Below are 12,267 nucleotides of genomic sequence, written 5' to 3' on the forward strand. Positions count from 1 at the left end.
CAAGTTTTGAGATTTATTCTTCTGCTTGATCTAGCCTATTGTTGAGAGTTTCAAATGTATTTTGTATTTCTTTTAATGAATTTTTCCTTTCTAGAATTTTTGTGTGGTCCTTTAAAAAAATCAATCACTGGTAAATGTTTTATTTAAGTCCTGAATGAAACATTCTGAATCTGAAGTTTTCAGATTTCTTTGTATTGTTTTTCAGAATTCTCTTGTATTTCAATTAACTTCTTTAAAATCAATTTTTAGAGAGCATTAGGCCAAATACCTAATGCATTTGGGGCTTAAAACCCAGATGATGGGTTGATAGGTGCAGCAAACCACCATGGCACATTTATACCTATGTAGTAAACCTGCACATTCAACACATGGATCCCTGAAATTAAAGTAAAATAAAAAAAATATTTTGAATTCTTTATCTGGTATTTCAAGAATTTGTTTTCAATTAAAATCTATCGTTAGTACTATTATGTTCCTTTGGAGGTGTCATATTTACTTGCTTTTTTATGTTTCCTGTGTCTTTGAGTTGATATTTGTACATCTGGTATAACAGTTACTTCTTCCTTTTTACTTCTTATTTTTAACTTACTTTCATAGGAAAGGACTTTTTCCTGAAAATATATCTGTGCTGTTAGTTGGGTAGGGCACTTTGGCTTTGATTTTGAGTGCACACAATAGTGTTGTCTCTATATGAATTCTTTGGCTGTTAATGACATTAGTGGTATTTGTGATTTCCTTAGTGGGTTAGCGTGCAGTTATTAGTGGTAGCTGTCTTGAAGTCATGCTGGGCACTGGGATACCAGGTGGAGCAGTCATCAGGTCTCTGTGGTGGTAGTGGTGAGCTAAACATGTCCATCCTTGGATCCCTGGGCAGTATGCCTTGGCTCTGGGGTTGGCAGTTACCATCAGGTAACTTCCTGGGCCTCCAGGAGGCTTGCTTGAATGCCAGTGATAGCAGCAGTAGACTATACAACTGAATGGGTTCTCAGGCTCCTTGGCAGCTGGTGTGGCTTGGGCAATGATAGTAGTAGTGGAAGGACAATTCTCTAGGACCTAAATAGTGTAATTTATTCATGTGGGTGGCTGCAATGGTCTGGGAATGCCATTCTGCATGCCTGCAGGTGGTGCCAACAAATAGGTGCCAGCTGAGTTGGTAGTAGTCAGGAATTTAGGCCCAACCTCAGGCCCCCAGCATGAGTTCTCAGGTGCTTATTATAGTGGACTGGATTGGGCAATCCCCAGGGCCCTGGTCTATGTGTTCTCTTTTTGTGGGAAGGGCAAAGCTGGCCTAGGTGGTCTTGTGCTCAGGGACCCTCATGGTGAGAGCAGACACTACCTGTGGTGGGTGTGGGTGGAGTGATCCTCAGGCCCAAGGCAGAATGGTTAGGTAAAGGGCAGTAGCAGCAGTGCTGATGCCCTGCCACTGACAGGGTGGAGCCAGCCTCAGTGGCCACAGCCTGGGCAAGTGGGTGGGGAACATGTGTCCTCTGACACCCCAGTGTCAGTGGGTATAACTTTTCAGCCCTGGTAGTGGTAACCTGCACCTATCTCGTGCCTTAGCCCCAGCTACAAGAGTCCTTGTCCAGCTCACAAATAATTCCCAGAGTCAAGATATGCTCTGCTCATTTCCCAGTCTCAGGGCTGGCAGTGCTTGCTTCCCAGCCCTGGCAGATAAAGTGCACACTTTACTTGCTTCTCAGGCATGGCTGCGGTAGCCTATTCCTAGCTTGTGACCCAGTCTCAGCAGTGACAACCCGAGGTTCCCTTATCCTTCAGTCCTGACTGGGGCCCAAGACTGTATAGTGTCTGTTAAAGGCTAGGTTTAAAAATAGAACCTTGCTGTAGCCACTTAGGTCTCAGAGAGGGTGTGGGACCCTGCATGAGCTCCCCGCTGGAGTAGTTCTGTCTCACAGTCTTCCAGCAGCTCCTGTGTTCATTTCAGGACTTGGGATGGTCGAGGGGCCCTCTCGTGGCCAGGATTGGATGGCAATGTGGGCTGCTGGAAGTCTCATGCTTACCCTTTCCCTGTGTTGGGAAGTCATTCTCGGCTCCCAGCCAATCCTGGCTAAGTAGGCTACTTCTCTTCCTTCTCCTTTCTTGCATTTGGTGTTTTCTGTCACTTTTCTGTTGCATACCAGTGTTCTCTTGGATGATGTATTTGAAGTGTGATTGTCTGTATACCATTTTGGTTCTTCTCAATGGAGGAGGCAAGCATGAAATGCTAGTCAGCCATCTTGAAGTTCCTTAAATATTCTTTTTCAATATTTTAAATAGCTTGGTAGTTTACTATTTAAGATGAACATTCTTATGCCTATATCTTTCTGCATATCCATGATTGTCTTTTTAGAATAAATTTTAGAAATTAAAAAATTAAACAGTTTTAAAATTTTGATGTCTTTAGTGCATATTATAAAACTTTCCAGAAAGGTAATTCTACTTTGTGTTATGCAAAAAGTGTTTGAGTGTATTTTCTTGCACTTCCCTTCCACCATCACCAAGAAACTTAATTGCTCTGTTTTTATTCTAATATTTATTATTCTATTGTAGTTTAATTCATATGACATTCCTCATCAATAAAACTGAATATTATATAAATTTATTGATTATAATTTTTTTAGAAAACATTTTCTATTCCAGATCTTTGGCCATTTTTGATGTTTTATTTCAATTTTTAAAAATTTTCAAGTAAATTTATATAGTACTGAATTTAATTCATCATATATGTTGCAAATAATCCTCTAGGCTATAGTTTGCCTTTAATTTTTTAAAGGATTTTATTAGTATAAGTTTTTGATGTGGTCAAATTGACCAATTTTTTTCTCCATGCCTTTCATTTTTTTTTTTTAATTATTATACTTTAAGTTTTGAGGTACATGTGCAGAACATGCAGTTTTGTTACATAGGTATACACATGCCATGGTGGTTTGCTGCACCCAACAACTCGTAATCTATATTAGGTATTTCTCCTAATGCTATCCCTCCCCTAGCCCCCACTACCTGACAGGCCCTGTCGTGTGATGTTCGCCTCCCTGTGTCCATGTGTTCTCATTGTTCAACTCCCACTTATAAGTGAGAACATGTGATGTTTGGTTTTCTGTTCTTGTGTTAGTTAGCTGAGAATGATGGTTTCCAGCTTCATCCATGTCCCTGCAAAGGACACGAACTCATCCCTTTTCATGGCTGCATAATATTCAATGGTGTATGTGTGCCACATTTTCTTTATCAGTCTATCATTGATGGGCATTTGTGTTGGTTCCAAGTCTTTGCTATTGTGAATAGCGCTGCAATCAAAATACATGTGCATGCATCTTTATAGTAGAATAATTTATAATCCTTTGGGTATATACCCAGTAATGGGATTGCTGGGTCAAATGGTATTTCTGGTTCTAGATCCTTGAGGAATCACCACACTGTCTTCCACAATGGTTGAACTAATTTACACTCCCAGCAACAGTGTAAAAGCGTTCCTATTTCTCCACATCCTCTCCAGCATCTGTTGTTTCCTGAGTTTTTAATGATCGCCATTCTAACTGGTGTGAGATGGTATCTCATTGTGGTTTTGATTTGCATTTCTCTAGTGACCAGTGATGATGGCTTTTTTTCATATGTTTGTTGGCCACATAAATGTCTCCTTTTGAGAAGTGTCTGTTCGTATCCTTTGCCCACTTTTTGATGGGGTTGTTTTTTTTCTTGTAAATTTGCTTAAGTTCCTTGTAGATTCTGGATATTAGCCCTTTGTCAGATGGATAGATTGCAAAAAATTTCTTCTATTCTGTAGGGTGCCTGTTCACTCTGATGATAGTATCCTTTGCTGTGCAGAAGCTCTTTAGTTTAATTAGGTCTCATTTGTCAATTTTGGCTTTTGTTGCCATTGCTTTTGGTGTTTTAGTCATGAAGTGTTTGCCCATGCCTATGTCCTGAATGGTAATGCCTGGGAAAACCTAGGCAATATCCTTCTCTATACCTTTCTAAATTAATAACTTTCACTCTAAAATATTTACCTTTTTTTTTGAGATGCAGTCTCGCTCTGTTGCCAAGATGGAGTGCAGGGGCATGATCTTGGTTCACTGCAACCTTCGACTCCCTGGTTCAAGCTGTTCTCCTGCTTCAGCCTCCCAAGTAGCTGGGATTACAGGCACATGCCACCATGTTCAGCTAATTTTTGTATTTTTAGTAGAGATGGGGTTTCACCATGTTGGCCAGGATGGTCTCGATCTCCTAACCTCGTGATCCCCCCACCTCGGCCTCCCAAAGTACTGGGATTACAGGCATGAATGACCACGCACAGCCAAATATTTACCTATTTTATACTACATAGTTTACTTTATTTTTTACATTAAAATATTTAATCCAGATTTTATTATTTTGTGATTTGTGGATTGAGGCAATGAACATCAATGGTTGGTTAATTATTCACCTTTCCCATACTGATTGAAAAATATCATTTTTATCACTTAATATAAATGTCTGTTCATCTTTGAATTTTCCATCCTGTTCCGTGGATCTGGTTATTCTTCCTCTGGCAGTATCACACTATTTAATTTAGGTCAGGTTTTTATTATAATACATTTTGGAAGCTGAAGGTAATAATCCTTGTAATTATTCCCCCTTCTCTTTTGTTTTGTTTTCTTTTATTTATTTATTATTTGTGTGTGTGTGTGTGTGTGTGTGTGTGTGTGTGCATGTGTGTGCTGTACTAGTAAGTAAAATGCTGGATATTGACTTAATGTAGATATCCTTTATCATCTCAATAAGTATGTTTCTATTGACAGTGTACAGAAGCTTTTATTTTCTTTTTTACAGGATGTTAACGTTTATTGACTTTTTGGGAACTATGTAGTTATGTATTTGTTTCCCCTTAACCATTTATTTATAAATCTGATATATTTATAGATTTCCAATTGTTAAACTGAAGAGTATTTTTGGCTATTCTCTTTTGGTTATGTTCTCATAATCTACTGTAGATTTTCAAACCTTTATTAACTGAGTCAGGTCGTGTGTGTGTGTGTGTGTGTGTGTGTGTGTGTGTGTGTGTGGTATTCATCTTGACTTCCTATCATATTTAGGGTTACTCTAAAACATGAGTTGGGGCCTTTCAGTATTGTTTTATGCAGTTTAATACTGGAACTATCTGTTTTTCAAGGTCGGAGGGAAATTTTTCCTTCACAACTGCTTTCTAAACTGTCTTCTACTGACACATTTTTGGACAACTTTTTCAATTCCTTCCATAGTTATTCATCATTCCCTGTTTCAAATCAATAAATATGTCAGTTATAATAATTTGCATTTTTTCTATTAGACATAAATTCTATTTTTACAATTTCATTATGGAAGTTGGATGTCAATTTTTATTTTGTGGTTTATGTTTAAATTATTTCAGTGTAATTGCAATGAGAAAATATGGCTTCCTTTTCAAAATTCAAATAAAGATATAATTCAGTCTGGATAAGCATTAGCTGAAATAAGAAACTGGGACTAGTGTTTTTCTCTGCTACTTACTTATTTCAATGCTTATGGTTTGCTTTACTAAAATATACTTGTTCGGTAGGGTAGAAATTCCTCCTTCTATAGTTATGGAAGTCATGGAGGTTTTAATAGCACTTTCATAGTCACACCAATTTCAATGTTTTCCAACAGAATAGTCTAGCCTTGTCCTCTTTGAGCTAATGATTGCACAACAGCCAGAATAAGCAACTTCAAACAGAAAGGGGAACATCTAATTCTCCTTCTCACTATTTAAGTCTTCCCATTGCACTTAGGGTAATGTACAGGATTCTTGCTTTGCAGAAGGTTCTGCGTAATCCAACTCCAGCCTACATCATTCTTGGCTTTCTGTGGTCTCATGATCTCACCATGCTCTGGACACACAGATTTCCCCTTATGTTCCTTTACACCAGACACTCCTGCCTGCTCTACAGCCTTGGCCCATTCTCTTCCTCTGCGTGGAACACTCTTGCCTCCCTGCAGCACTTAGCAGCGTCCTGCCATCCTTTGGTTCTCAGCTTCAAAAGGCCACTACCTCAGTGAGCCCTCCCAGCACCCTCTTAGCCCCTCTGAATTAGATCTCCATGTTGTACTCTCTGATAAGCCCCTGGTTAATCTCATGAACTCTGGGGGAAGGATGGATTTAAATTCTGGATCTACTATTCATTAGCTTTGTGATTCTGGGCAAGTTATTTAAACTTTCTGTATTTCAGTTTCCCTATTTATAAAATAGAAATAAAAATACCTACTTCCCGTGATGATTAGGAATTTCTACTCTATCAAACAAGAGTCTAAATGACTACACACACACAGATGAAGATCGTAAAACAGTGCTTGGCACATGTAAATACTTGCTGTTTTAGACTTCATTATTATTTCTTTTATATTATATAACTTAGTTTACATAACTATGCATTTGTAGAAATGCTTGTTTCATGTCTATTTTACCTCACTAGACTGTAAGCCTTGGGAGAGTAGGGTCTGGGCTTATTCATCCATATACCAGTTCCTGACAAAAGGATGTAGATATATATCTTGAATAAATGATTATTTATTGCTTTATTTATGTTCTTATTTCTTTGTACTTAATACTCTTGTAAACTTTGCTAAAACCTTTCAAGAAACATTTTCTCTTCATTTAATAGGTAAAAATTAAGGCTGTGACAATTGCATCCCTGTTTTAATGATACAGTTTAGTATTTTCATCGACTATTTTCCCCAAGTACTTTCACCAGATATCCAGTTTTATGGTGCAGGGATGGATTAATACAATGAAGTGATTTTTATCACACAATCTCTTGCTGTGATAATTTTTTTCCTTTTTTATTGGTCCTCATCTTGAATCCTTTTAATTTTCACAGCAGATAGTGGTTGAATGGGGTAGGGAAGATAAAATTTTTCACTATTGGCAGGATTCAACACCAAACCTATAAAACACTTCCATTTCCAGTGGTGTGGCTTCTCTCTTGTTGTCTTCTGGCATCCCCTTGCCACCTGGATACTTTAGTTGTACTGTTGGAGATGTCTGTGTTATTTAACTTTTTCTAGCACATACAACATCAATGACACTTTCAGCCTCTGGGAATGCCTGTGATATATGCTTGCCACAATGCACTCTGCTAAACATTCAGTTGAGCAAATGAGTAACAACACATGAGACAGCGATCCTGCTAGAGGACTTTCTCATAGTTTACTGGTGATGACAGCAAGTGGGAGGAAGCCGAACACCACTGTGAGGGCATGCCACCCATTAGATAGAAATGGAGGACTGTCCCTGCTAATGTGGGTGCTCCCACAACAGATGTGAAGAGGAAATTGTCAACAGAGAGGCAATTCCCTGCCTCAGTTTCCTCTGTCTGTTGCTCCCTGCAGAGTGCTTATCAGCTATCAACCCACTGCACTGGCCAAGGTTTAGAAACCACACTAAACAAAAGTCATCTTTTCTCCCCTCTACCGGACCTAAATGATTTACTATGCACTCAGACAAACTCTGATGGAACCTGTCTCAATTCACCATGGGACCAAAAATCTTTATTGTGTAAAGATGAACAAATGGAGGAAAACAGAAGCTGGAGAAAATTTAGCAGCTAAAAAAAATGTCCATCTGAGTCAGTGTCTTCCTACGAAGCAGAGTTTTTATGAGAAATGCATGCAACTGTGGAAAATATTGAATTTGCATTGCCAATGACTGCTGAGAGAACTTAGCATCTATGAAAGCAGAAAGACCTGCCAAGATAGAGAAATCCAGAAAGATTACTTGAATGGTACAAACTACTCCTGGGGTGAGCTTATTTCCTTTTACCTCGGCTGTGATAATAATTTGAAATGAGGGTGAGATACTTAAATGGCAAATCACTGCATTTACTGAAGAAGCCACCTTATTCATCTCTATCTAGATTTTCTATAACTCCTCTTCCCATTTGGTGCAAAGAAGACCTCATCTTCAAATTGGGAATAACAAACTTAGCTCATTTCCAACACCACTGGTATCTCAGGCACAGATGCCAAGTGGGAGGGTCTGACTCAACTCCCCTTACAAAGTATTCATATTATACACACGCTACAGAACTATGCCATTATATTAGTTTCCTAGAACTGCTGCAACAAAGTACCACAAATGATGTAGCTTAAAACAACAGAAATTAATTTTCTCACAGTTCTTGAGGCCAGAAATCTGAAATCCAGGTGTCAGCAGGGCCACACCCCTACTGAATGCTCTAGGGGAGGATCCTTTCTTGCCTCTTCCTAGTTTCTGGTGGTTGTTGGCAATCCTTGGCATTCCTTGGCTTGTGGACACATCACTAATCTCTACCTCTGTCATCCCATGGTGTTCTCATTCTGTGTGTGTACTCTGCATTTTCACATGACATTCTCCCTGTGCGTCTAAGGGAGCATGTGATCTGAATCAGTGTCTTCCTATGAAGCAGAGTTTTTATGAGAAATGCATGCAACTATGGAAAATATTGAATTTGCATTTCCAATGACTTCTGAGAGAACTTAGTATCTGTGAAAGCAGAGAGAGTTGTCAAGATAAAGAAAGATAAATCCACAAAGATTACTTGGACGCTACAAACTACCCTTGGGGTGAGCTTTATTTCCTTTCTTTTTTTTTTTCTTCATAAAGACATGAGTCCACCCTAATCTAGTATGACCTCATCTTAATTACATTTTTAAAGATCTGATTTCCAAATAAGATCACATTCACATGTCTTTTGGTGGAACACGATTCTTTTCATTATTTTTAATGTTTTTAAATTGACAGATAAAATGGTATATATTTGTAATATACAACATGATGTTTTGATGTATGTATACATTATAGAATGGCTAAATCAAGTCCCTAACATACTTATTACCTCACACACTTTTTTTTTTTTTGTGGTGAGAACATGTGAAATCTACTCTCTTAACAATTTTCAAGTATACAATATACTGTGATTAACTAATGGTCACTGTGACCTACAGTAGATCTTTTGAACTTATTCCTTCCATCTAACTGAAATTTCATCTTTTGACCAACATTTTCCCAATCTTCCTATTCCCAGCCTCTGTTAACCACCATTCTATTCACTGTTTCTGATTTATACTTTCTTAAAGTCTACAAGTAAGTGAGATCATGCAGTATTTGTCTTTCTGTGCCTGGTTTCTTTAACTTAGCATGATGTCCTCTAGGTTCATCTATGTCGTCAAAAATGACAGCATTTCCTTTTTTATTAAAGGTTGAATAGTATTTCATTGTGTATAGGTACCATATTTTCTTTATCCATTTATCCTTTGATGGACACTTAGATTGATCTTATATCTTGGCTATTGCGACTAATGCTGCAATAAACAGGAGTGCAGATACCTAGATTTTATGTCCTTTGGATTTACCCAGTAGTGAGATTGCTGGGTCATTCGATATTTCTATTTTTAATTTTTTGAGGAATCTCCATGCTGTTTTCCACACTGATTGTATTAGTTTGCATTCTCACCGACAGTATACAAAGATTCTGTGGGACATCATTCCTCCCACTATTGTCATCCAGCAACTACATATCAGGTAGTCATCGGACAAGGCCTTTTCTTGATCCCCAGGTTCTGTTTCGCCAGGTCTAGGAGGATATTCATGTAAACATACTTTACCACAATATATGTCTAAGCTGTATCATTTAAAATCTCATCCAAAACTCTCTAAGATTTGTGGGGTTCTAAGCCACGCCCAAACCACTTAATACATTGTTGTAGTGAAGATTTACTAAATATTTTGAATAGTAAATATACAGTAGTAAAATTTCTACTTAGGTCTTTTATCTATCTCAATGTTGCCAATGTTTGGGTCTCTGGAGTCTTAAGATTAGTCCAAGTGTACACAAGACAGAGATGCCCTCTCTCACCACTCCTATTCAACATAGTGTTGGAAGTTCTGGCCAGGGCAATTAGGCAGGAGAAGGAAATAAAGGGTATTCAATTAGGAAAAGAGGAAGTCAAATTGTCCCTGTTTGCAGATGACATGATTGTATATCTAGAAAACCCCATTGTCTCAGCCCAAAACCTCCTTAAGCTGATAAGCAACTTCAGCAAAGTCTCAGGATACAAAATCAATGTACAAAAATCACAAGCATTCTTATACACCAATAACAGACAAACAGAGAGCCAAATCATGATTGAACTCCCATTCACAATTGCTTCAAAGAGAATAAAATACCTAGGAATCCAACTAACAAGGGACGTGAAGGACCTCTTCAAGGAGAACTACAAACCACTGTTCAATGAAATAAAAGAGGATACAAAGAAATGGAAGAACATTCCATGCTCATGGGTAGGAAGAATCAATATCGTGAAAATGGCCATACTGCCCAAGGTAATTTATAGATTCAATGCCATCCCCATCAAGCTACCAATGGCTTTCTGCACAGAATTGGAAAAAACTACTTTAAAGTTCATATGGAACCAAAAGAGAGCCCGCATCGCCAAGTCAATCGTAAGCCAAAAGAACAAAGCTGGAGGCATCACACTACCTGACTTCAAACTATACTACAAGGCTACAGTAACCAAAACAGCATGGTACTGGTACCAAAACAGAGATATAGATCAATGGGACAGAACAGAGCCCTCAGAAATAATGCCACATATCTACAACTATCTGATCTTTGACAAACCTGAGAAAAACAAGCAAGGGGGAAAGGATTCCCTATTTAATAAATGGTGCTGGGAAAACTGGCTAGCCATATGTAGAAAGCTGAAACTGGATCCCTTCCTTACACCTTGTACAAAAATTAATTCAAGATGGATTAAAGACTTAAACGTTAGACATAAAACCATAAAAACCCTAGAAGAAAACCTAGGCATCACCATTCAGGACATAGGCATGGGCAAGGACTTCATGTCTAAAACACCAAAAGCAATGGCAACAAAAGCCAAAATTGACAAATGGGATCTCATTAAACTAAAGAGCTTCTGCACAGCAAAGGAAACTACCATCAGAGTGAACAGGCAACCTACAAAATGGGAGAAAATTTTCACAACCTACTCATCTGACAAAGGGCTAATATCCAGAATCTACAATGAACTCAAACAAATTTACAAGAAAAAAACAAAAAACCTTATCAAAAAGTGGGCGAAGGACATGAGCAGACACTTCTCAAAAGAAGACATTTATGCAGCCAAAAAACACATGAAAAAATGCTCACCATCAGTGGCCATCAGAGAAATGCAAATCAAAACCACAATGAGATACCACTCACACCAGTTAGAATGGCAATCATTAAAAAGTCAGGAAACAACAGGTGCTGGAGAGGATGTGGAGAAATAGGAACACTTTTACACTGTTGGGGGGACTGGAAACTAGTTCAACCATTGTGGAAGTCAGTGTGGCGATTCCTCAGGGATCTAGAACTAGAAATACCATTTGACCCAGCCATCCCATTACTGTGTATATACCCAAAGGACTATAAATCATGCTGCTATAAAACACATGCACACGTATGTTTATTGCGGCACTATTCACAATAGCAAAGACTTGGATCCAACCCAAATGTCCAACGATTATAGACTGGATTAAGAAAATGTGGCACATATACACCATGGAATACTATGCAGCCATAAAAAATGATGAGTTCATGTCCTTTGTAGGGACATGGATGAAATTGGAAGTCATCATTCTCAATAAACTATTGCAAGGACAAAAAAACACCGCATGTTCTCATTCATAGGTGGGAATTGAACAATGAGAACACATGGACACAGGAAGGGGAACATCACACTCTGGGGCCTGTTGTGGGGTGTGGGGAGTGGGGAGGGATAGCGTTAGGAGATATACCTAATGCTAAATGGCAAGTTAATGGGTGCAGCACACCAGCATGGCACACGTATACATATGTAACTAACCTGCACATTGTGCACATGTACCCTAAAACTTAAAGTATAATAATAAAAAAAAATTAGTCCAAGTGTAGACACCACTATAGTTTGCATGATATGCAATGTATTTATTCTTTGACCTCCAGAACCTCAACCCATCACAGACCACAGTTTCTGGGACCCCTTATTTTCAGCACTTTGTATAGGGAATTACTTCCCAAAGTAATGGGTGAGGTTTTGACAAAAGATAAATATCCACCCTAATATCTGTTTCTCCAATGGATGCAGTAAGTTTAGTTTTCTGAATTGATTAGAAAGGATTCATTTTTTACCGAAGAATCTCTATTTCAACAGCTATTCGTCAGTAAATGCCAGAGCTTTTGTCAGAATTGGAAGCTTTCTTGATATGCTGTTGGACATAAATTCGGATCAACTTCCTCT

The 12,267-nt window shown here is 38.3% G+C and overlaps 1 annotated feature.

Moving 5' to 3' along the window:
* Positions 606-1,107: an enhancer, noted in NCBI's record as "H3K27ac hESC enhancer chr2:76220709-76221210 (GRCh37/hg19 assembly coordinates)". NCBI's record gives its function as "activates a minimal SCP1, AML or CMV promoter by ChIP-STARR-seq in primed H9 embryonic stem cells {active_cell/tissue: H9 hESC(primed)}" and the evidence as "EXISTENCE:reporter gene assay evidence [ECO:0000049][PMID:30033119]".

This window comes from Homo sapiens, chromosome 2 (genome assembly GCF_000001405.40).
Source record: "Homo sapiens chromosome 2, GRCh38.p14 Primary Assembly".
NCBI lineage: Eukaryota > Metazoa > Chordata > Mammalia > Primates > Hominidae > Homo > Homo sapiens.